This window comes from Homo sapiens, chromosome 11, assembly GCF_000001405.40.
Source record: "Homo sapiens chromosome 11, GRCh38.p14 Primary Assembly".
Classification (NCBI taxonomy): domain Eukaryota; kingdom Metazoa; phylum Chordata; class Mammalia; order Primates; family Hominidae; genus Homo; species Homo sapiens.
Window position 1 is genome coordinate 61,001,599 of NC_000011.10, and position 24,415 is coordinate 61,026,013.

The 24,415-nt window shown below is 53.2% G+C and overlaps 1 protein-coding gene and 1 long non-coding RNA gene across 18 annotated transcripts in view, besides 5 other annotated features; one reads left to right on the forward strand and one right to left on the reverse strand.

The window, feature by feature from the left end:
• CD6 (CD6 molecule) overlaps positions 1–18,779 on the forward strand; it is a 48,698-nt gene extending 29,919 nt beyond the window's left edge. For 2 of the 17 annotated variants that reach the window (XM_047427881.1, NM_006725.5), the window contains 12 exons: positions 4,976–5,044; positions 5,962–6,312; positions 6,936–7,247; positions 7,974–8,276; positions 9,472–9,537; positions 11,825–11,965; positions 12,321–12,416; positions 14,115–14,237; positions 15,881–15,952; positions 16,161–16,415; positions 16,691–16,795; positions 17,656–18,779. In XM_047427881.1, the coding sequence (XP_047283837.1) occupies positions 6,992–7,247; positions 7,974–8,276; positions 9,472–9,537; positions 11,825–11,965; positions 12,321–12,416; positions 14,115–14,237; positions 15,881–15,952; positions 16,161–16,415; positions 16,691–16,795; positions 17,656–17,720 (1,482 nt within the window). In that variant the 5' untranslated portion in view covers positions 4,976–5,044; positions 5,962–6,312; positions 6,936–6,991 and the 3' untranslated portion in view covers positions 17,721–18,779. The remainder of the gene's footprint in view (positions 1–4,975; positions 5,045–5,961; positions 6,313–6,935; positions 7,248–7,973; positions 8,277–9,471; positions 9,538–11,824; positions 11,966–12,320; positions 12,417–14,114; positions 14,238–15,880; positions 15,953–16,160; positions 16,416–16,690; positions 16,796–17,655) is intronic. The other 15 variants (XM_011545360.3, NR_045638.2, XM_047427875.1 and 12 more) reach the window with 15 other exon arrangements.
• Positions 1,764–6,513, reverse strand: LOC105369326 (uncharacterized). The gene is made up of 2 exons (XR_950155.3): positions 6,449–6,513; positions 1,764–3,347 (listed from the first exon to the last, which is right to left on the reverse strand). It is a non-coding gene; the product is annotated as an uncharacterized LOC105369326 (long non-coding RNA).
• Positions 5,666–6,374: an enhancer, noted in NCBI's record as "H3K4me1 hESC enhancer chr11:60774736-60775444 (GRCh37/hg19 assembly coordinates)". NCBI's record gives its function as "activates a minimal SCP1, AML or CMV promoter by ChIP-STARR-seq in primed H9 embryonic stem cells {active_cell/tissue: H9 hESC(primed)}" and the evidence as "EXISTENCE:reporter gene assay evidence [ECO:0000049][PMID:30033119]".
• Positions 6,116–6,315: a silencer, noted in NCBI's record as "silent region_3383". NCBI's record gives its function as "represses an Ori minimal core promoter by ATAC-STARR-seq in GM12878 lymphoblastoid cells {active_cell/tissue: GM12878}" and the evidence as "EXISTENCE:reporter gene assay evidence [ECO:0000049][PMID:35858748]".
• Positions 10,817–11,406: an enhancer, noted in NCBI's record as "NANOG-H3K4me1 hESC enhancer chr11:60779887-60780476 (GRCh37/hg19 assembly coordinates)". NCBI's record gives its function as "activates a minimal SCP1, AML or CMV promoter by ChIP-STARR-seq in primed H9 embryonic stem cells {active_cell/tissue: H9 hESC(primed)}" and the evidence as "EXISTENCE:reporter gene assay evidence [ECO:0000049][PMID:30033119]".
• Positions 11,407–11,996: an enhancer, noted in NCBI's record as "NANOG-H3K4me1 hESC enhancer chr11:60780477-60781066 (GRCh37/hg19 assembly coordinates)". NCBI's record gives its function as "activates a minimal SCP1, AML or CMV promoter by ChIP-STARR-seq in naive and primed H9 embryonic stem cells {active_cell/tissue: H9 hESC(naive and primed)}" and the evidence as "EXISTENCE:reporter gene assay evidence [ECO:0000049][PMID:30033119]".
• Positions 20,037–20,086: an enhancer, noted in NCBI's record as "active region_4789". NCBI's record gives its function as "activates an Ori minimal core promoter by ATAC-STARR-seq in GM12878 lymphoblastoid cells {active_cell/tissue: GM12878}" and the evidence as "EXISTENCE:reporter gene assay evidence [ECO:0000049][PMID:35858748]".

The window sequence follows — 24,415 nt, forward strand, 5'->3', positions numbered from 1 at the left end:
TTAGGTTTTAATATCTTCTTATTTTTTTCATATCAACATACATACCTAATTTTACATACATAGAATCATATCATACATGATTTTTAAAGTACAGCCTTTTACCTTCATTGCTTGCTTTTCCTCCCCCTATCTTCCATGGCTGTGACTGTGTCCCACGACCAGCTGCATAGTTTGCAGGGCCCAGTGCAAAACGGAGATGCAGGGCCTTTGGTTCAACAAATGATGAGGAATTTCAAGATGGCAACAGCAGAGGATTCAAGCAAAGGCCGGGTCCTTCTAAGCACGGGGCCCTGTGCACAGTCCACCAGCCTGTGGAGCTGGCCCTGCTTGGCCCCTTCCCCTGAAGCCCACTCTTAATTTTTCCATTTTGATTATCTGCTGTGTGTTCTCCCACACTTATCTTCATGTTCCTGCAATCATACCAGTTCACAGAGGGGGTTTTTTGGCCTTGCTTCACAAAAAATGTATCATATTATATTCTCTTCTCTGCATCTTGCTTTTCCTACTCAACACAGCTTGGAAATCCTGCCAACCCATCTGGGTCTATTTCATTCTTTATAAAGGCTGCATAAGATGCCATGCTGTAAATGGACCGTAATTGATTCAGCCGTTTCCCCTGTGAATGGGCATTCACTCTGTTTCTAACATTTTGCCATTCAAAAATCTGCAGTGGACTGGGTGCGGTGGCTCACACCTGTATGCCCAGCAGTTTGGGAGGCTGAGGCAGGCAGATCACTTGAGGTCAGGTGTTCAAGACCCAACCTGGCCAACATGGAGAAACCCCATCTCTACCAAAAATACAAAAAAATTTAGCAGGGTGTGGTGGTGGGTGCCTGTAATCCCAGCAACTTGGGAGGCTGAGGCAGGAGAATTGCTTGAACCCAGGAGGTGAAGGTTGCAATGAGCCGAGATCACGCCACTGCACTCCAGCCTGGGTGACAGAGCAAGACACTGTTTCAAAAAAAAAAATCTGCAGTGAACATTTTTATGATCAGGTGTCTTTAATGATGTAAAAAAGCAAATTCACAGGAAAGGGTAAAAGTTTGCTCTTACTCTGTTTTGTGTTGCTATAACAAAGTACCACAGAGTGAGTAATTTAAAACAAAAAGAAATTTATTTCTTATAGTTCTGCAGGCTGGAAAGCCCAAGATCTAGGGGCCACATCTGATGAGGGCCTTCTCTCTGCATCATAACACAATGGAAGGCGTCACATGGCCAGAGAGTGCACGAGAGACAGAGCGAGGGACGGTGGAACTCTCACTTTTACGACAAAACCACTTCTGCAATAACCAACACACCCCTGTGATAACAGCATTAATCCGTTCATGAAGGCAGACTCCTCATGACCTAATCAACTCTTTTCTTTTCTTTTCTTTTCTTTTTTGAGACACAGTCTCGCTCTGTTGGCCAGGCTGGAGGGCAGTGGCGCAATCTCAGCTCACTGCAACCTCCACCTCCCAGGCTCAAGCAATTCTCCTGCCTCAGCCTCCGGAGTAGCTGGGATTACAGGCATGTGCCACCACACCCGACTAATTTTTGTATTTGTAGTAGAGACAGGGTTTCACCATGTTGGCCAGGCTGGTCTCGGACTCCTGACCTCAGGTAATCCACACGCCTTGGCCTCCCAAAGTGTTGGGCTTACAGGCGTGAGCCACCACGCCCAGCCCTAATCAATTCTTAAACATCCAACTTCTCAACACAGGTCATTGGGGGATTAAATTTCCAACACATGAACCTTGGAACACATTCAAACCATAGCAGGCTCCTTTTCAAATAAATTTATTGCAGCAAAAAAGTGAACCAATTTAAAGAAAAGTGTGAGGCACAGGGCCAGGCAAAAGTGGTAACAATGGGCCGGGTGTGGTGGCTCACGCCTGTAATCCCAACAATTTGGGAGGCTGAGGTGGGCAGATCACTTGAGCTCAGGAATTTGAGACCAGCCTGGGCAACATGGGAAAACCCCGTCTCTACAAAAAATATACAAAAATTAGCCAGCATCGTGGCAAGCGCCTGTAGTCCTAGCTACTCGGGAAACTGAGGCACGAGAATCGCTTGAACCCAGGAGGTGGAGGTTGCAGTGAGCCGAGATTGTGCCACTGCACTCCAGCCTGGGCGACAGAGCGAGACACTGTCTCAAAACAAAAAAGGTGATAATGATGTCTGAGAAACGCTGATCTTCCATTCGGCCCTCTGTGAAATGAGGCCTGGATGGAAAGACGGTTCCAGGTAATTTCTGCTTTTGTTCCTGTAGCACAGAAGTCAGAGAACAGAGAAGCCAGGTTCCCTTCTTGGGATAGGGGATGGGAGAATGCTTGACACAAAAATAAAGCCCTCGAGGTTATCCGCTTTCAACCAGCTGCCTTGGAGCTGGCAGCTGCTGCTCATTCATTCAGTCAATCAACAAACATTGCCTTGGACACTGTGGGGGACACAGGGCTGACCCAGCCATGGGCCCTGCCCTCTAGGGTTTTCTGATCTAGGAGAACACATTTTTGTCTTTATGCATGAGAAAGTGGTTTTCCAGACCCAGAGAGAGAGATGATACAGAGCAGAGCTAAAGCCCCCCTGCCCCACACACATCACATTCACACACACAGTCGTAATCACATATGCACACAGTCCCTCACACACACTCATATGCACACACCTCACAGTCATACACACTGCAGCCATCATTCAATCCCCCTCCCCCACCCCATGTAGTAACATTGAAAACTACGCAGGAGCACTGGGACGGTTGCTGTGGGAACCGGGATTCTGAAATCCTAACTTGTGGGCATCTGAATTCTTGCGCTGAACATTCTAATACATCAGCCACAGAGTTTATGCTCTGAATTTGGAGTCATTTCTCCTCCAGGGGCTCAGGCTGGGCAGCCAGCCAGGGAGTTAGCGAGGACGGCAATTAGAGGGCTGAAGACTTTCTGCCTGATGATGAAGAGGCCCACACGGTTTCCTGGAGAGGGCTGTCTGCCAGGGTGTGCACGCGCACATGCACAAGCTCAGGCTCAGGGGGTATGTCCGTGGAATCTGCTCAGGTGAAGCTCCAGGAATGTGTAGTGGTCATGTCCGAGTCTTCAGGCTCTGTATCGGTCAGGCCGGACTAGGCAAGGCTGTAGCAACAAGGACACCCCCAAATCTTCATGGTTTAACATGATAAGGGCTTACTCCTTACTCACACAAAATCCAAGCTGGGTCAACATCCCCTTCCCTCTTGCAGTTCCTCCGCAACCCAGGGCCTCTAATATCCTTCAACAGGGAAGACGTAAATGGAAATGGCTCACTGCCTCTTCCCTGCTTTGGCTCAAAAGCAGGCAGACGTCTTCTGCCTAGGCTTCAACCAGCCCAACCTAAGTGCAAGAGAAACCAGGAAATGCAGAGGAGTTCATAGGCAACCACAACAGTCCCTGCCCCAGAGCCTCCCTTTGTGCTTTGCAAGCCCAAACATCCCAGCCCAGAGGGGAGGCAAGTCCTTGGAGACAGTTTAAATCCGGGCTCTGCAGCTTGCTCACTGGGTGGCCTCAGGCCCACGCATCAGTTGGGTTCCCACCAGGAAACCTAGAATAGGAATTTAAAGGGGACTTATTTACAGAAGAACTATTTACAAAGGGTAATGCAGTAAGTAGAATCTAAGAGCAACTTCTGGCCAAAGGAGACACAACCAGGGAGTGGTCAGTGAGTCCGAGTAGGAGACAGTCAAGGAGAGGTCACCTTGAATAAGCAATGTCCTTCACATGAGGGACACAGCCTACCCGAGGGACCTCACAGGGGGGGCCAGAGGAATAAGTGTCACATCTTCGCTCTCCTCACTTCTGCCTAGCTCTGCTAAGGCTCCCCATTGGCTGAATCTGACAGAAGCCATAAGGCCCAGGAAGACAGGGGTTAATCCAAACAGATCAGCCTCCCAGGGCAGAATGGATAGTAGCTCTGGTGGAATAAATGGACCCTATCTGGCAGGGACAACTGATTTTTGCTTTTGGAGCCTCCTTTTCCTAATCTGTAAAATAAGAATGCTAACACCTGCCTCATTGCATTGTTGAAAGTAAATGGAATAGGCTGGATGTAGTGGCTCATGCCTGTAATCCCGGCACTTTGGGAGGCTGAGGCAGGCAGATCACCTGAGGTCAGGAGTTCGAGACCAGCCTGACCAACATGGAGAAACCCCGTCTCTACTAAAAATACAAAATTAGCCAGGCGTGGTGGCGCATGCCTGTAATCCCAGCTACTCAGGAGGCTGAGACAGGAGAATCGCTTGAATCTGGGAGGTGGAGGTTGCGGTGAGCCGAGATCAAGCCATTGCACTCCAGCCTGGGCAACAAGAGCGAAACTCTGTCTCAAAAAAAAAAAAAGAAAGAAAGAAAGAAAGTAAATGGAACAATATATGCAAATATGCAAATACCTGTCCTTCATGAATGCTAGTTTCTTAGTGTCTGAAGGCACTTTGCAATCCAGTGGTTCCCAGTCCAGGATGTGTCAATTATTCTAAAGTCTGATATGAAATTCTCAAACAAATTCTATAAACAAAATTTTCTTTTTCTAAATCACTCCCACTTTCGAGCTTTTTCTATATGTCAAGTATTTCATAGGCTGTCTCATTTCAGTCTCACAATATTTTCCTAAGAATCATAGCTGAAAAATTGGGACTGGCACAGAAAGATTAAGTCACCCATTCATGGTCACGAAGCCACTTTGTGTGTCTGGCCCCAGTGCCCACTGCCTTTCCTCCCTGTTCTACTCCGATTTCTGAAGCTGTGTGTGCAATGAATAGGTAAAGCGGAGGATCCTGAAATGCCAATGTTTGAGAACTTTCCCTACCTTGAAGGGAGGCCAATGCACCCAAAGTTGAGGACCACGTCTTTTCCAAAGGCCTCATGTAGCCACCACAGGCTCCAGGAAGTGCCCCCTGCTCATCAGGGTGTCTCTGTGGTCTCCAGGCCTGAGCTCACTCACCCACCATGCTGCTGCTGGTTCATTTCAGGTCATCCATCTCCAGCCCCACCTGACCAGCTCAACACCAGCAGTGCAGAGAGTGAGCTCTGGGAGCCAGGTGAGCAAACATTCCCTCTGGGGGTCCATGATCAGCTTTCTGTAGGTGGTCCCCCAGGGTAATAAAGAAGGGAAATGGACATTTAGGATACCAGGGAGGCTCCCTGACTTCAGACAACACTTCTTCCTGACCCATCACCTGAAGTTCCACTATCAATTCACTTTGAGGTCGTAGAACTACCATTTTTGAGAGGACACTGATAAGTCACATACAGGTGGGCAGGTATGCCTGGAGCATTTTAAGGGGATTTGTTGAGAACAGGCTAGAGTTCTTGGTGGGGGAGGCAGGGTCCTTGATTTACTCAGCAGACGTTTATTAAGGACCTACTGTATGCAAAGATGCATGCTAGCACTGGGGGTACAATCCTGGGCTAAAAGGGGCAGGTGGTTCCCATAGAAGGGGTTCTGGGGAAGTGAGGACCACCATCAGCTGAAGCAGCCCATCATCAACCCCATGGCCAGCCGCTTCACAATCCTCCAAGGTTCCCTAGTCACTGTGACAGCCTCTAGGACAGTACCCTCAGAGGAGCAGAGGGGCCTTCAGGGGAAGCATGCGCCCACTGGACCAGGGCCCCTGAACTCACAACTCTGCCTTTCTTTCACAAACGGGTGCCCCTGGAGACAGGAGCAAGTGAGGAGGGTTTCTAGGGGGCTGGACCCCTAGTTGTCTGTCACCCATCTTAACCTCTAGAGTCACTCCCAAGCCCCACCTTCGGCTGACTCTAAGGAGAACCACAGGGTCAGGCCTCAAGGTGGGCTCAGGGATGAGCCAGCCCGGCTCCATTTTGCAGACTGGAAAGCTGAGACCCCTAGCCAGGCAGGGCGTTGTCAAAGTTCACGCACAGAGTCAGTGGCAGAGCCTGGGCAACCCTCTGCCCAGGCCCCACCGGTCTCAGCTCTCTGGTCTGACACTTCCAGGGGAGCGGCTTCCGGTCCGTCTGACAAACGGGAGCAGCAGCTGCAGCGGGACGGTGGAGGTGCGGCTCGAGGCGTCCTGGGAGCCCGCGTGCGGGGCGCTCTGGGACAGCCGCGCCGCCGAGGCCGTGTGCCGAGCACTGGGCTGCGGCGGGGCGGAGGCCGCCTCTCAGCTCGCCCCGCCGACCCCTGAGCTGCCGCCCCCGCCTGCAGCCGGGAACACCAGCGTAGCAGCTAATGCCACTCTGGCCGGGGCGCCCGCCCTCCTGTGCAGCGGCGCCGAGTGGCGGCTCTGCGAGGTGGTGGAGCACGCGTGCCGCAGCGACGGGAGGCGGGCCCGTGTCACCTGTGCAGGTACGAGCGCACCCCCTACACGGGCCCCCACCTGCCCCACTCCCCAGGCCTTCAGCCACTGCCCCTGGCTCCAGACCCTGGACGCAAGCCTCGCCCTCCAGACCTCCACCCCCACCGCCTACCAGTGCAAACGCACCGGGTTCCCACACCGGAGGACGACCTCGAGTCATTTCCAGATCTGAGCGTTTCCTTGGATCTGGCCTCCAGACTCCACCCCCACACTTGGTTCCTAGTCCCACCCCTGGGTTCCCAAAGCTAACCCGGTCTCTAACCCCACTTACTGGGCCCGCCGCTTCCCTGTCCCCGCCCGCTCTGGGTCTCTCCTCCCCTTTCGCCATATACATAAACATGCCAGGTTCACAGGGTCCCTAAGCGCTGTGGCTCCCAGGCTCCCAAACCTGCCCTCCAGGCCCCGCCCACCAGGTCTCTGGTCCCTCCCACCAGCCTGCGGCTCTACCTAACCCATCTGCAGTCCTGGGGGGATTCCCAGTCTTGCCTACCGGGCTACAGCCCTCTCACTGGGTCCACAACACGCTCACAACTCTCCGGCCAGTCCAACCATCACCCCAACCCTCCCTTCCTGGTCGGGTGCCCCAGCATCCACAACCCCCTCCCACCCCTAGAGAACCGCGCGCTGCGCCTGGTGGACGGTGGCGGCGCCTGCGCCGGCCGCGTGGAGATGCTGGAGCATGGCGAGTGGGGATCAGTGTGCGATGACACTTGGGACCTGGAGGACGCCCACGTGGTGTGCAGGCAACTGGGCTGCGGCTGGGCAGTCCAGGCCCTGCCCGGCTTGCACTTCACGCCCGGCCGCGGGCCTATCCACCGGGACCAGGTGAACTGCTCGGGGGCCGAAGCTTACCTGTGGGACTGCCCGGGGCTGCCAGGACAGCACTACTGCGGCCACAAAGAGGACGCGGGCGCGGTGTGCTCAGGTCAGTGGGCGGAGTCACTGAAGCCCGGTCACTACCAACACTCACCATAGGCCTACTGGGCGCCAAGCCTGGAGTTAGTGCCGGAGAGGTGGTCCCTGCCCTTGAGATGTCACAGTTCAGGAGGGGAGATGAGACTGAGACAAACATAATTCAGGAGAGAAAGTGGTAAATGCCCCCAAGAAAGGCAGTCAGGTGGAGTCTAGAGGCAGCAGACCATGCGGAGCTGTAGGCTAAGGCTGACCACCTCCCGGAAGAGGTGACATTAAAAGTGAGACTCTTCCCGAGTGGGAGTTGGCCACCTGCATTCAAGCAGCAAGGGGAGACTGAAGGGAGGGAGGCCTCTGAGGAGGCTGTTGGTCTGTCCAGGTGGGGCCAGAAGGTTCTGGACCAGCCAGTGCCTCTCTTTGATAAGCAGGAGATGGGGGAGGTGGGGGTGTTAAAATGTAGATTCTGATTCAGTAGGTCTGAGGCAGAGCTCCAGAGTCTGCGTTTCTAACAAGATCCCAGGCAATGCCGATGCTGCTGCTCCACAGACCACACTTATCACAGCAGGGTTGGCCAGAGCAAATGGGGCAGGTGACAGGGGGACACAGACACAGGAGGGAGAAGACACAAGATCTGGAGACCAAATGGCTGCATTGGTGCCTGCACTGGTGGGTCTGGGCTGGCGGGAATTTCTGCCCAAAGGATTCTGACCTGACTCTGTCCCCTGCCCCTTCCCTGCAGAGCACCAGTCCTGGCGCCTGACAGGGGGCGCTGACCGCTGCGAGGGGCAGGTGGAGGTACACTTCCGAGGGGTCTGGAACACAGTGTGTGACAGTGAGTGGTACCCATCGGAGGCCAAGGTGCTCTGCCAGTCCTTGGGCTGTGGAACTGCGGTTGAGAGGCCCAAGGGGCTGCCCCACTCCTTGTCCGGCAGGATGTACTACTCATGCAATGGGGAGGAGCTCACCCTCTCCAACTGCTCCTGGCGGTTCAACAACTCCAACCTCTGCAGCCAGTCGCTGGCAGCCAGGGTCCTCTGCTCAGGTACCCCATCCTACTCCACCCCCCCAGATTTGAGCCAGAATTCTACCTGAATCCATGTCCTAAAAACTTACAGTCCAAGGACCACAATAGGCACCAGATCGGCAATGGCACATATGGCATAAGAAGGACTGTTGTCCTTACGGTGCCCAGGCAGACAGTGCTAATTCATCGAGGTATTTTCAGATGCTCCACTCAGCCCCAGAATGATGAATCATATATGAAGACATTATATGCTAAGCAATGGTTCCTCTTGACTGGGATTGACTCAAGAGTTGACACCAATTTGCCATCCCAGGCCTGGTGATGATAGTAAAAATAATATTAGCAGGCCCTAGTAATAATATCGGTGACAGCTTCTGGAACCCTGATCATATGCTAGGCATTGTTAAGCACTAAGTAGCTCTTATTTCAGCTGAGCCTCATACCCACTCTATGAGTTGGGTTCCACCATATCTCGCCAAATCTAAGATGGCATTGTTTATGTCACACCATTATTATTTTATGTACCATAAAGAAGAACGAACACTGCCAAAATAAACCACCAAACGTAATGACTGAGGCCATTATCCCAATTTCAGACGTGTTAAAGTTTGAAAAAACGTGAGTGTTAGATAGATCTGAAGAAACATGGTATTTGCATTCTTACGGCATTCAGACACCAGATTACAAATTCCAGCTCTGCCATTTACGAGCAAGGAGGCTTCCGACAGTCCCTTAACCTCCATGTGTGGATGCTGATACTAGGCACTTCGCAGGATAGCTGGGAAACCTGATAGTATCTGCTGAGGGACTTCTAAGCTCATTTCTTTGTGAGCCTACCTGCCCAACGGGAATGCCGATTATGATAATGAAGATAATGTCCGCTCTTCATCTCCCTAGGCTGATTAAGAACAAACTGAAACTGAATGGAAAACGGATTTGTGGTCTGTAGCAGCTTACACAGAAAGAAGGGATAATTCTATTAGCCCTTTATTTTAACCAAAGAGCCTTCCCAGCATTTAATCCATGAGTTCCTCCTTACTGTGGGGGGTGGGGTAGGGGAGGGAGGTAAGTTTCCTTAGCCACGTGTCCCTGATGGGAGCACAACCCTAGTTCTGGGTCACTTGTCTGTCCCATTCAGTTTCTAACCCAAGGCCTGGCACACAGTAGGTGCTCAGTAACATGCATTGAGTGACTGGGCGGTGCTTTCTGACAGCTTCCCGGAGTTTGCACAATCTGTCCACTCCCGAAGTCCCTGCAAGTGTTCAGACAGTCACTATAGGTAAGTGTTGCTGGGTACTACGCGGTTTCTCAGAAGCTTGGACGTGTGTGTGTGTGTGTGTGTGTGTGTTCCTGTGCACACCTGTGTTGGGGTGGAGGATGGTTTGGTCCTCATCCTCCACCTCCAGCCAATGGACTTGCCTCCCCGGGGCTCTCTGGGTGGCATTTCTGCTCCTTCTACATCCCCTCCTTGCCAAGTCAGCCCATAGATCACTGAGTCCTGATACTTCCTGGACAGAAGTCCATTCCCCCACTTTCCTGTGAGCTGCTGGAGGGCAGAAGGAAAGAGCTGGAGAGAGCTGATACCACCTCAAGCAGGGGTCAGGGTCGGGGCAGCAGGGGGAGGGTGATCTTGGCCCAGCTGGGTAGCGGGAATGCCAGCACACAGCCCTGTGTTCATAACCGGCCAGACACTGGGCCTAGGGCTTTATAGCCATTATTTCCCAACCCTTTAATCCTCTTGGTAGCCAAATGGGAGAGGTCTTATTATAACCCTTACATCAAGAAAGGAGCTGAGGCTCCGAGGCTGAAGTCACAGCTAGAGATTGCTGGCCAGAACTGACAACCAAGGCTCTGAATTCCAGATCCATTCTTGGTCTACCCACCAGCTGCGTGTAGCTTGGCTGGCATCAGAGCAGACTCCCAGGACTCAACTCCCAGCTGTGCCTCTTGCTAGCTGTGCCCTGTTGGGCAACTCGGAACCTCTCTGAGCCTCAGACACCTCAATTATAAAATGGGGGTGATAAGCATATAGTACTTTCTCCTAGCATTGCTGTGAGGCTCCAGTGAATTAATTTTTGTAAAGCACTTAGAACAGAGCCTCAAAGACAGTAAGAACTGTCCGAAAGTCTGCTGTTGCTATGAGTATTTAGTTCAGGCATTGAGCCCCTTTGCAGTCCTGGGATACCCACAGGACTCCCTTGCTCTGCCTCCTAGCTCTCTGTCATCTTCTCTCAGACACCCAGAAGCAGTGAACAGGGGTTTGGGGAGAGGGCACAGAGGCCTTAGCCATAGATGACAGCACAGAGAGGAAATGAAATGTACAACTGCACAGGCTGCCGGGCAAGCTCCTGCCAGGCCCCGCAGGCAACCTGCACACGCTTTCTCTTCCTGAGGTTGGAGTGGGGATCCACGCCATCCTGGAAGGGCAAAGAGTGAAGCACAAAGAGAGATCCAGGGACCACACCCCGGCCCTTGGTCCATCAGCCCCTCCCTCGGCCACGGCCCTCTGTACCCACATTCACGGGTCTCCCCATGGCCGCAACACCCAGCCTCACTCTCACATCTGCTTCCTGCTGCCAGATCCAGCTCCCATCCTGGCCCAAACTTCCCCATTTGCAGACAGAGAGGGGAGAGGAGAAAATGAAGACGGGGAGAGGAGAAAATGAAGACAGGGAGAGGGTTCTCTCCCAGGGGAAGCAGACTCTGCCCCCAGCAAAGAGGTCTGGATGATCTCATCTCCCTCCCCGTTGCTGTCACTACTAGTCATCTAGCCCTGTGGTCTGCTCACTCCAGGAACCCTCCTCACTGACCCCTGTATCCATTCTTGTGCTTCACATTCTTTTAAGCAGAGGGGAGGCTGAGGGAGGGGGAGGGCAAGAAGTCACCCCTGAGTGGGGCTGCAGAGGTGGGAGACCCTGAATCCCAGACCCCACTCCCGTCCTCATGGAGGGGATGTCTGGTGGGAAGGAGGGGGGACTCAGGCACAGCTCTTCTGATGGTCTGTTCACTGCCAGAGGTGGCTCAGAGTCACTGTCTCTGGGAAGTCAGCGTTGGTCTTCCCTCACAGAGAATGAAGTGCCTTTTGTAGGGCCTCATGCCCCCAGTGTCGCTGTTCAAACCTCCATCACAGCGGGTGCCTCATCATACTGGACTGGGTTACTTATTGATCTCTCCGCTAGACAAAGCCCCTCAAGGCCTGTGATACTGTTGTCTTATGTGTAGCCCCAGGGTCTAGGGCCAGGCACACAGCGGGTACTCAATAGTTGTCTATTGAACAAAGACTACATACTGAAGAGCTAGCAGACAGATAGATCTCTGCAGCCTGGTGGCCAGAGTTCTATTTCAGGCAGTAATTCATTTAATCAATTGCTCATGCATTCAATATGCATTTATTGAGCGCCTAATATACACCACACACTTAAAAGCAATGAGAAAATTGGAAAAAGGAAGCAAGGAGGAAGATAACATAAAAAGGGAAGCAGGTCAGCTTTACAGAGAATGGAAAGGCAAGAAGAAGGGTGAGTGCCCATTCCTCTTTCTTCCTGAATTGGAATTCTTGTTTCCAGAATCTTCTGTGACAGTGAAAATAGAGAACAAGGAATCTCGGGAGCTAATGCTCCTCATCCCCTCCATCGTTCTGGGAATTCTCCTCCTTGGCTCCCTCATCTTCATAGCCTTCATCCTCTTGAGAATTAAAGGAAAATATGGTAAGTGCAAGGTTCTGGGAGCCATGGCCATCCCAGGGGGATGTGAGCCTTGGCAGAACCCCAGCAGCAGTGGCGTGGTCCAGCAATGACCACCCGGCCCTGGCCCTGGGGAGATCCCCAAGGTGGAAAGGATTTTCCCAGCATGCCCAGCAGTCATGGACGCACCAGCGGGGAGAACCAGACTGTGCATGTGTGTGTGTGCCTGTGTTTGTGTGTGTGTTTGTGCGCGCGCACATGTGCCTGCAAGTGTTGGGGGAATGAGGAGGGTGGTGTGTCGATGAGAACAGAACGGAACCAGGTAGACTGGGAGAGGGCAAAAAAATGACTTGTAGAATTTCTGCCTCCCCTCCCTCAGCCCTCCCCGTAATGGTGAACCACCAGCACCTACCCACCACCATCCCGGCAGGGAGCAATAGCTATCAACCGGTCCCCATCACCATCCCCAAAGAAGGTAGGATGTCCCCCATCCTGGGTGTGGGAGGGCTGGGGAGGACAAGAAGGGTGAGCTTTCTGGAAGGTCAGCACCACTTAGGTCCAAGACGTACACACAGCTGGAGATGAGATCTGGGCCAGCCCACTCCCGGCCCTGGGACCTTGAGCAGGCTCAAGTCGTCCCTGGACATTGAAGGGCAGATGACCTTCCAGTTCAGTCATGCTAGGACTCTATAGAGTTTTGAGTTCTGGACAAATACAGGCAAAGCACGTTTTAGATCTTGGTTCTCAGAGGAAAGCTCTGTTCTGCTTTGCTCTGCTAGTTGGCTAGTAGGCTTGTGATATCATCATCCCTATCAATGTCCTGCCCAATTGGCCTTGCGAAGCCCCATCAAGATTCTCCTAGAATGTGGTTTTATTTCATAGTTCATATTTTCTAAACAAAAAAACAAATTGGGGCTGGGTACAGTGGCTCACGCCTGTAATCCCAGCACTTTGGGAACCTGAGGTGGGCAGATCACTTGAGGTCAGGAGTTGGAGACCAGCCTGGCCAACATGGTGAAACCCTGTCTCTACAAAAAATGCAAAAATTAGACAGGTGTGGTGGCGTGCACCTGTAATCCCAGCTACTTGGGAAGCTGAGGCAGGAGAATCGCTTGAACCTGGGAGGCGGAGGTTGCAGTGAGCCGAGATCACGCCACTGCACTCCAGCCTGGGCGACAGAGCAAGACTCTGTCTCAAAAAAAAAAAAAAAGAAAAGGTTCAGTCATTCATCCTTTATGATATATGGATTTATACCTCTTGCAGAGGAATTTGAGCTTAATCACCTTGCATTATGAATGTATTCAATCACCTTTATCGGAAAGAGTTCAATGACATAAAAACCAATACAAAACTCAGCCAAATATTATAAATATCCTTTGCACAGAGAGTCCATATATATGAAAAGAGAATGTGAATACAGCATCTAGCATAAGGCTTAGCATAAGGCAGCTGCTCACTGAATAGCACAGTCTAGAGGTTTAGAGCCAGACTGCCGGCTCTGGGCCAGGTAAGAACCTGTCTGTGCCTCAGTTCCCTCCAAGGCAAAATGGGGATAATAATGTACCCACTTCACAGAGTTATCATGAGGGTTAAATGAGGTAATACTTGTAAGTGTTAGAATAGTGCCTCACATATAGTAAGTGCTGTGTTAAGCGTTTGCTAAATAAATGTTTAGTTCTCCATATTGGAAATGAACGAAGGCAGCCTAGAAACTTCAGACTGGGTGGCTTGTACAAGATGGGCTACCCAGGTTGGGCACACTGGTGGATGCCTGTAGTCCCCGCATTTTGGGAGGCCGAGGGGGATGGATCGCTTGAGCCCAGGAGTTTGAGAACAGCCTGGGCAACATGGTGAAAACCTGTCTCTACAAAAAATTCAAAAATTAGCTGGGCGTGATGGTGCATGCCTGTGGTCCCAGCTACTCGGGAGGCTGAGGTGGGAGGATCGCCTGAGCCCAGGAGGTCAATGCTGCAGTGAGCTGTGATGGCACCACTGTACTCCAGCCTGGACAACAGAGTGAGACCCTGTCCCAGAAAAGAAAGAAAAAAAAAGGGGGCTACTTGGTGCTCCCCTGCTACTCTGCCTCTCACCTCTGCCGTTCATACTCTACCATCCCTCCCTACACCTTTCCGCCCACCACTTTGCCATGCCCTCGACTCTGTTCTCTCCCCAGTTTTCATGCTGCCCATCCAGGTCCAGGCCCCGCCCCCTGAGGACTCAGACTCTGGCTCGGACTCAGACTATGAGCACTATGACTTCAGCGCCCAGCCTCCTGTGGCCCTGACCACCTTCTACAGTGAGTGCCTGGCCGGGCTCCCGAGGGCCCACCTACCTGAATCTGGGAGGGGGCCCCGAGGGGACCGTCAGGTCAGTAGTCCCACCTAGTAACCCCTGCATGATGCAGACAGAATCCCCCTGGTTACCCACTGGATTGACTGTAAATGGTCCTACACTGACGTTTGCACCGTGCTTTGTGACCCTGGGGTCATCTCGATGTCTCAGGACATCTCCACTCTGACCTCTGTCTCTCCCATGTTTGTCTCTGGCCACGTAAGGTCTTAAGACCAGGCCTTTGACATTCACCTGAAGATGGCTCTCTGTGTGAGAGCGGGGGAGTGCGGATGAGAGACACAGTTGGCAGGGGTTCTCGCATGCCATATCCCTCCGTGTCCCATCCTGCCCTGTCTGACCCCATCAGCCCCACTCACTTCCTCACCTCCACGCTCTTGCCAGCTTGTGCCTCATAGCCAGCTCTTTTCATTGCCTTCTGGGGATAGGAAGAGGAAAGATAACGCTGAAGGCAGTTCCCTGGCAATGCTGGGAGGTTGGAATAGACCAGAGCGTCCCACACCTTATTGTGGAATCACTTGGGAGCTTGTCAAAAATTCCTGAGCCCCTCCCCACACCTAATGTTATCAGTCAGGATGAGAATTTGGCTGTGTGTGACAGAAAGCTCCAAATGACAGTGTCTTGAGAGGTTGGCAGGGGCCCAGGCCCCTTCTTTCTTGCTGCTGTGCAGTCCCTAAGATGTTGCCTTCATCTACATGGTCCAGAATGGCTCACCTCCATGTCCACATTCCAGGCAAGGGCAAGGGAACGATGGGATGCTGGAGATGGCCACAGATTCCCGCTCACAACCCAGCACCCAGAACGAAAACCCACTAGCTGCAAGAGAGGCAGGGAAACGAAGGCTCTGTCCTGGGCAGCTGTGTCCAGATAAAAGCCAGAATGGATATTGGGGAACAGACAGCCGTCCCTGCCCCGCCTGCTAACCCAGGGCTTCTGGGGGTGGGACACGGATGATTCCACTTCTTCTGGCCTGTGGACCAGTGTTTGGGCGCCACAGGGATGAAGTGTCTGTCGAACCTGAGATTCCGAGCCCAGGCATATAAGATGCAAGACTGAGAGTCCACAGTGCTATAACATTGAAATTAAAAGTCAGTGGTACCCGGTTCAAAAGAGCTGACTCCAAGATCCCAGACACTCATATCCTCAAGACTCTATAAATCTCTGATTCTGAAACGTGAAGGTGCCACAGAGCCTGTGATGCAGTGATTCCAGACCATCTGGGTTTCACTCTAGGAAGGCTTCTTGAAGGAGCAAACATCTGTCCTTCTCCTGCCCAGAGCTGCCAGGTCACAAGGACAGAACCAAGACTCTTGATACCTCTCTAAGTAGCAGGAGGGACAGCTGGGGCTGGGGGCTGGGGGGTTGTAGGGCACTAGAGTTTCTGTCCCCAGGCTAGATTAAGGCGAAGGCTCTGCTGGATTGGGATATGAACCTGGAATTTGATGGGAAATGCTAAGCCCTCTCTGCCTCCGGAGTTGTCCTCCCACCCTATTCAGCCTACCCAGGCCCCGGGAAATCCAGCCTCTTCTCCAGGCTCCTAAATGATGAGGTTGAGCCTTCACCCCTCCCCACCACCGCCTCTGCTTGCAGATTCCCAGCGGCATCGGGTCACAGATGAGGAGGTCCAGCAAAGCAGGTTCCAGATGCCACCCTTGGAGGAAGGTGAGTCAGGATGGGAAGGGGTGTGAATGGCAGTCCCACCTCCAGAGAGTAGCTCAGCTCAGCTTGAGACCTTCCAGCAGGAACCTCCCTCAATGAGTCTTTCCTGACTTTCACAAATCCTATAGGCAGTAAGTGCTTTCTGAAGTCTGACTTAAAGCCCTCTTGCTGCACTGCTTCTTTCGTCACCATTCTCCCTTTCCTGCCTTAGGACTTGAAGAGTTGCATGCCTCCCACATCCCAACTGCCAACCCTGGACACTGCATTACAGACCCGCCATCCCTGGGCCCTCAGTATCACCCGAGGAGCAACAGTGAGTCGAGCACCTCTTCAGGGGAGGATTACTGCAATAGTCCCAAAAGCAAGCTGCCTCCATGGAACCCCCAGGTGTTTTCTTCAGAGAGGAGTTCCTTCCTGGAGCAGCCCCCAAACTTGGAGCTGGCCGGCACCCAGCCAGCCTTTTCAGGTAAGCTGTGCCTCCCCCAAACCCCCATCCCATAGCCAGCCTGGCTGGAGGAGGCATAAAGCTGGGAGCCCTGAGTCAGGCTGAGGTCAGGATTCTACCCAGTTCCGCAGCCATTCGCTGTGTGCCCTTGGACACATCTCCCATCTCTGGGCCTTCACTTTGTCATTTGCCAAGCTAGGGACTTGGCTCTCGTGAGTCACGTGGGCCCCCCAGCTCTGGCAACTTGAGAAGTGGCTGTGTGCTGGCAGAGGGTGACTGGTTCTGGGGGTTTCCAGCAGGGCCCCCGGCTGATGACAGCTCCAGCACCTCATCCGGGGAGTGGTACCAGAACTTCCAGCCACCACCCCAGCCCCCTTCGGAGGAGCAGTTTGGCTGTCCAGGTGCCAATATCTGGGGAAGGGATGTGGGAGGGGGACAGAGAGGGACTGGGGAGTAAATGAGTGGGGAACTATTGGATGCATTCGCTCAAGGGGAAAAGGAGAAAGGAAGGGTAAAAGAAGAGAGGGAAAGTAACTTTTTAAAAAACAAAGCAAGGCCAGGCATGGTAGCTCAAGCCTGTAATCCCAGCACAAGGCAGGAGGATTGCTTGAGGCCAGGAATTTACGACTAGCCCCGGGAACATAGCAAGACCAGTCTCTACAAAACTAAAAACTAAATATTAGCCAAGGGTAGCACGTGCCTATAGTCCCAGCTCCTCAGGAGGCTGAGGTGGGAGGATCGTGTGAGCCCAGGAGATCCAGGCTGCAGTGAGCTATGATCGTATCACTGTGTATCATGCCCCTGCAGGGTCAGAGCAAGACCCTCTTTCTACAAGAAAACAAACACAAGCACAACAAGAATATGAAGAGGTGGGGAAAATGGATGTGGACGGGATGGAGAAATAGTCAAACAGGTTGCTTTGATAAGAAGTGAGCTCCCTGTCAGTGGAGGCATTCAAGCAGAAGCAGCTGGTTGGCTCCTTGGGGGAGACTGTGGTAGCAGAGGGGCTTCCAACATTCAATCGTCCACCGTGTCGTGCAGTGTGCCATTGTGGAGACCATAGCCCTGAACCAGACAGACGAGGCTATTCCCTCAGTGCTGATGTTCTAGTCAGGGACATGGCCGGAAGCAAGATGATCAGATGGCTTCATGCAGCATCCCACGGGGATAGTGATGTGGAGCCAGAACCACTCAGCTCCGTCCTGTGGGGCAGCAGGGCAATGACTGGGTCTCCCACTAATCTGGGCCTCTCTGCCCACAGGGTCCCCCAGCCCTCAGCCTGACTCCACCGACAACGATGACTACGATGACATCAGCGCAGCCTAGGCCGGGGCCAGCCGAGGCTCCTGGGGTGGCTCTGACCCTCTGGCCTCCTGCTCTACCTACTCCCTTTCCCCTTTCCCACCCTCCCAGCTCACCTCCCCATGGAGCTGAGAGGCCTCCCTTGGAGAGATGGAAGGAAACGTTATACCTTGTACCCCTCGGTCTCCATCCATCAAGCCAAACCTGCTGCCACAGCCCTCCCCCGGCCCCAGATAGCAGCCCCAGGGAGGATGCTGCCTCCAAGAGGTGTGAGCCCTCTGTCTCGGGGATGAACAAGCAGAGTCTGGGCTACCTCTTGACAGCTGGTGGAGGGGAGTTGGGGAGCTGGACTGGATGACTCTGGAGGCCCCTTCCAAACCTCAAGTGTCCGGCGCTTTGATTGCCTGAGTTTCTGACACTTCAGGGCCCAGAGGTCCTGCGAGGGGCAGAACTGGACCCCCATGCCAGTGCTGCTGCAGGAGGGCCCATATACTAGGGTCTGCTGAGCTGTTGTCACTGATCGGTGGGCGCTGGGGGGGTAGGGTAGCACACCAGCTGTCCCAGGCTTTGCTCCGGGCGGTAACTGCACTTGGGCAGGGAATATAGCCTTCCTGGGCACAACTAGCTGACAATGACAGGTTGACTGTGTACCCCCAACCAAGGAGCTGGGGCCCAAGGCCAGTCCTGCCCCAGAGACACTCCAAGTCCGCCAGGGGCACAGACCAGTTCTGCAGTGACTGTCCCTGGACAATGGGTCTTTATTCTGAGTTTCCTATGGTTTACAAAGAGGGCCCCAGCCCAGCCCCACCACAGATCCCAGAGATAGGGGCCCAGTCTCCATGGGGGCAAGGAGCATAGAGATGTTTTCCAGGAAGGGGCTCAGAAGCTGCACTAGGCCCCGAGTCCCCATGTGTCTCCTTGAATTGATGAGGATGCTCCTGGGAGGGATGCGTGACTATGTGGTGTTGCACCCGGGGCTGCAAACGTCTCCGTGCAGCCCCCAGAGAGAGGCCCATGGGCTCAGACCAGGCTTTGTTGTCCTGCTCTGAGTATCCTGAGATTAAACTGAATTGCTGAATGAAACCAGGGCGTGGAATGACAATTTCTTAAACCTCATAGAACCCAGGCTGCATGTGTGTGTGCACGTGTGTGTGGCATGTATGTGCATGTGTGTGTGTGTGTGTGTGTGGCATATGTTGGATACAAATGAGACAAAGAGTTGAGCTCAAATCTTTTATTTGGGAAGTAATCCCAGGGAGCAGCAGTAAGAAAATGAGGAAGAAAGAGGGGGAAGGAAGGAAGACAATGTTCATGAACAGGTTGCTATTATGGGCAGCCAGAGCTCAATGGTGCTGGGGACCTCTGGGAGACACACCTCAGAATTGTCCCACCAAGGGGGCAGGGAGCTGGGATATTGACCCACCCTCTCTGCCTGTCATTGGTTGAGGAGACATTAACCCCCAGCCCCAGCACTACCGAGCGGCCTGTGAGTGAGCTGGGCACACGCTGTGTCGGGAGAAGCCACAGGCAGAGGGTCAGAGGCACATGCTATAAGGAACCATCTTCCATGGGAATGGTCCAGGAAAAGCACCAACAGCAACTGCTCCATGTTCAGAGTGTGTGTGTGTGTGTGTGCATGTGTGTGTGTGCGTGTCAGGGAGAAGTCAGGTTGTGGCAATGGTGGGGGCAACTCTATCTGTTTAGGAGGAAATGCTAGGGAACTGGAAAACCCACGGTGGCTCAGCACCATAAAAAACACTGGGGAGGCCGGGCACCGTGGCTCACGCCTGTAATCTCAGCATTTTGGGAGGCCAAGGCAGGAGGATCACTTTAGCCCAGAAGTTCAAGACCAGCCTGGACAACATAGTGAGACCCTGTCTCTACCGAAAAAAAAAATTGAAAATCATCCAGGTATGGTGGTGCACACCTGTAGTCCCAGCTACTTGGGAGGCTGAAGCAGGGAGGTCGCTTGAGCCCAGGAATTTGAGGCTGCAGTGAGCCATGAATGATCACATCACTGCACTCCAGCCTGGGTGAGAGTGAGACTCTATCTCAAAAACATTTTTTTAACACTGGGGATAGGAAAACAGAACCTGACAGACTGAGAGGCAGGGTCTATGAGAACTCAACCTCACTGCCTCCCTGGGCTGCTCCACAGCAGCCCTGGGCTCAGCGGCAGGGGTTACTGCACTGAATGAGTTCCCGCCTGAGCCCCCAAATCTTCAAAGGTAGTATAATTCCAGGGAGTTTTATGCTTAGAGTTGCCTGGAAAAGGATTGCACCACCCCAGAAGGAAGTGGGGATGAGGCTGGTGGCGCTGGAGGGGACTGGAGCGGATCCGCACTGAGAAATCGGCATTGCCTCCAGTCCTCTGCCCATTCAGGGCTATGACTTTATCCCTGCTGCCATGGCCAGTGCCCAGCTCTGCCTGCGGGGTGAGGGTTGGGGCTCAGGTTTTCTCCGAGCCGTCTCGGGAGGGGCGGATCATGAAGGAGGTGGGGCTGTGTGGTGGGCGGGGCCTGCTTTCCATTCACCTGTCCCAGAGGTGGAGAGAAAGCCGCGCTCCCCAGGGCAACCGTCACAGGATGTGGTTGGCAGTGTTGGGCCCCCTCCTCGGGCCCTCTGAACCCTCCCCAGGGTGGCGGGGGATTCCTAGGGGAGGAGCCACTTCTGGGGTAGGTGGGGCAGACTCAGCGGCAGGGGGCTTGTGAAAGCCTGTGTTCAACTCCCCACTCCACCCCTCCTGGCAGTGTGGCCTCAGGCAAATCACTCAACATCTCTGAGACTTTGTTTGCTGTAAGTTGGTCTGTAGAATGTGTGGGCAGTAGTGGGTAACTCACAGGTGGTGGTGAGGGTTAGAGGGTTGGTAGTAAATGACCCCGTCATTGGTAGATTAATCACTGCAGGTGAGAGCGCTCCTTAAAAGGAGAAAGGGGAAGCCAGGAGGCACTCAGCAGTGCCTGGGGTCTTCAGTGCGTTAGTGCTGGGGGCAGGGCGGGGCAAGGGTTGGGGGAACATGGAGAATGTCTTGTCCCACTCTCATTTTACAGGTGAGGACACTGAGACCTAGGGTGGGAAAGGACCTGTCCAAGGTCACTGAGAGTTAGTAACAGAGTCACAATTCAATCCTTCCCCACCTCGTGCCCGCCCCAGCTCACACAGGGAGATGGCAATGCCTTCTGAGTCACCCCCATTTCCCCAACCTCCCCGGAGCTGCCTCTCTCACCCCAGCTCTCCCACCCAGGGCCCCCCACAGTCTCTGAGAAATTGGGAAGCTCTGCCCTAGCCCTGGGCAGTCTGAAGAAACAGCACCACACACAGTAGGAGGGCTGATCCCAGCTGGCCCCTGTCTCTATGTCTCCCAGGGACTCAGACCTGGGACCTGCACCTTATTGAGCCGACATGGGCCAGGCCTGTGCTGAGACTGGGAAAGCTGAGATGAATGACAGCCAGGCTCTGACCTGAAGGAGCACCAGCCTGGCAGGGAAGTCACAAACATAAGCAGGTGGCTTCCCCTCCACTCCTGGGAGACCTCATTATAATACGCCTCAAGGATCTGGGACAGGAAACACAAAGAGGCTCAATGGACTTGGCAGCGGAACCCAGTGGTTCCAGAAACATTGGCGTGGGGGGAAAGGCTGTGTCCCAGAACGGAAGCACCCAGCAATTTGACTGACAGCTCTGCAAGCTCAGGCAGAGAGTGATGCACAGGGAATTCCTGGGAAGCTGATGCCTGATCTGGGTTGTAGAGGATGAATAGGAGTGAACCACCGACGTGGAGAGGGAAAAGCATTCCAGGCCAAGGGAATGACACGAGCGAAGACACAGCAAGAAACTGCACGGCTCGCGAGGTCAAGGGAGGTCCAGTTTGAGAGGAGATGAGGCTGGGGATGGTCAAGTCTCACACCAACCCCATTTCATGGGTGAGAAAATTGAGGCCCAGAGAGGTTAAGTAAAAAGCCAAGGTCACACAGCTAAATAATGACAGTGCTGGGACTTAAATACAGCCTAGCTTCAGAGTCTGAGTGTTAATCATGGCTCTTCCAGTGTCCCTGTGCCACCACAGCCACACGGCTGGGCATTATTACCAGAGCCCCAGCCTAGAATCTGGAGACACCGGCCTATCTGCCCACCAACAGCACAGGCACCGGCTGCATTCTGGGATACGGGGTTCGGGAATGTAGAATCATCACTACCAGGCACCCTTATAGAGCCAGCTCTGTGCTGAGCTCTGGGAGGCACAGAAAGGAATGGAGCCTGGCCCTTGCCGCTGGGGAGTTTACAGGACCTGGGGCAGAGAGAGACCAGTAACTGCCGTTCATCAACATGGTGATGATGACGGTGGGTAGCATTTACTATGTGCCAGGTATGTGTTGTTTCATACAATCCTCATAAGGGCACTCTGAGAAGGTATTATTCTCCCTAATTCGTAAATAGGGCAACTGAAACCCCGAGAGATTAGATGACTAGCCAGAAGCCACACAGCTTGGCAGGTAGCACAACTTTTCCACCTCACTGCAAAGCCCCAGTGTGAAAACACCACGCCGCACAGCGAGGGCTCATGATAAGCATGTTTAACCCACATGAACTTAAGTGTGTGCTCAGCAGCAAACAGAAAGACAAGGGGCAACCCAGCCCAATATTTCCCTTGGTTGAACAAACACCCAGGAGGAGACAGACAGGAGCTGTGGAGCCTCCGTTCCCTCAGATCCTGGAAGCCGTTCATCCTGTGGGTACCTTGCCATGCTGGGTGAGATTTTAGCTGTTGGGGATTCATTTTTCATACACGGTGGGCCTGAAACAAAGCCCACCATTTCAACGAGCTGCTCTAATGCTGCAGGGAAAACACCTGGTTTGGAGCCAGAGCAGGGCAGACTCACATGCAGGCGTCTTCCTAAGGGAGTGTTCTTTCCTTTCCCTCACTCCCTCCCTCCCTGTCTGCCCTCCTCCCTCCCTTTCTCCCTCCTTCCCTCCCTCCCTCCCTCCCTCCTTCCCTACCCTCCCTCCCTCCATCCCTTCCTTCCTTCTTCTTTCCTTCCTTCCTCCCTTCCTTCTCTTTCTCTCTCTTTTCTTTTTTTTTTTCTTTTCTTTTTTTTTTTGGGATGGAGTCTTTCTCTGTCACCCAGGCTGGAGTGCAGTGGCAGAGTCTCATCTCACTGCAACCTCCGCCTCCCAGGTTCAAGCAATTCTCCTGCCTCTGCCTCCCGAGTAGCTGGGATTACAGGCACACATCACCACGCCCAGCTAATTTTTGTATTTTTAGTGGAGATGGGGTTTCGTCATGTTGGCCAGGCTAGTCTTGAACTCCTGACCTCAAGTGATCGTCCTGCCTCAGCCTCCGAAAGTGCTGGGATTATAGGCATGAGCCACTGGGCCCAGCCCTTTCTTTTTTTAAAATGGGAAATACCTTAACCGTATTAAAACTCCAACAACATGAATTCATACCATTAAAATCTTGCCCCCTCCACCCTGCCCCTTCCTCCCCACCCGGCCCACCCAAGGTAAACACAATTGTGTCTCTGATGTAGAAAGAAGCAGATGTGAACCCCTCTTGCTGCCTACCCCTTCTTATACAGAAATGACGTCCGGGCACCCTCTTGGGCTCCTTGCTTCTTTTTACTTCTCTGGTATCCCAGATAACGTTCCTAAGGGAAGAGTGATGCTACCCATATTTGAGTTTCTCCCACATGCTGTCCAAGCAGATAACTTTTGCCTCATGTAGGGCTCCACCACACCACTACAGAGGCTGTGTGGACAGAGAGGAAGAAGCCACTAACTGCCAGGGTTTAGTGGGAAAAGCATGACAAAAGAGGGAACAATCAAGTCGGCCATTGAAGGTTGTGTAGGAGTTTGCTGGATGGATGAGTGAAGGATGTTCTCAGTAGCAACACGTGCAAGTATGGTGCATGCCGCCTGAAGGCCAGGGGAAAAGGGGGTGCGCAGGTGGGAAAGACCATGGGGAGCATCTCCAAGGGTCTTGTGTAACTTGACCCTTGTCATTGTCTTAGACCTGCTGGGAGTTGCGAGCAGTTTCTAAGGCAGGGAAGTGATCCGATGAGACGGATGCTCTAGAAAGGTTGCCGCTATGAAGCGGAGGGAGGTTTGATGGGGCTGGGGCCTGGAGGAAGGGAGGCCAGCTGGGGGGTGGTCAGCACTGGGAGATGGAGAAGAGGGAACGAGTTGGAGACGGATTCAGGACTTGGAGAGTGATCACAGACATGGGAGATGATTTTCCAACACAGCAGCCTCCAGCCATGATGACAATATGACGGTGACATTAATGATAGCTTCGATTCCTGAGGGCACACTCAGAACCTGTGTGTCGGGCACTGTTCTGAGCACACTGCAGGTACTGACTCATGTATGCTCTCAACAGCCCCATGAAGAACCAGCATCATCCCCATCTTATGACTGAGGGAACAGGCTCAAGAATGTTCAGTTTTTCCCAGGGCTATCAGCTGAACATGGTGTGGCTGGGCCCTGGCTGCCACTGCCCCTGCCCTCCTCCTTTCCATGTGAAGGTACAATCCACACCAAAGGCTCACTTCTGTGCCTCCCAATGCCCAGCTGGAGCCACACACAGCTCTTCAGGCCCCACAATTAATTGGCATCCTCCAGACATCTGAGAGAGCCCAAGGGGACCAGGTCAGGAGCACGCTCTGGCAGGATTATCCCACCAGGGCCCACATGGATGTGGCTCTCAGGCTCCGAGGCTGCTC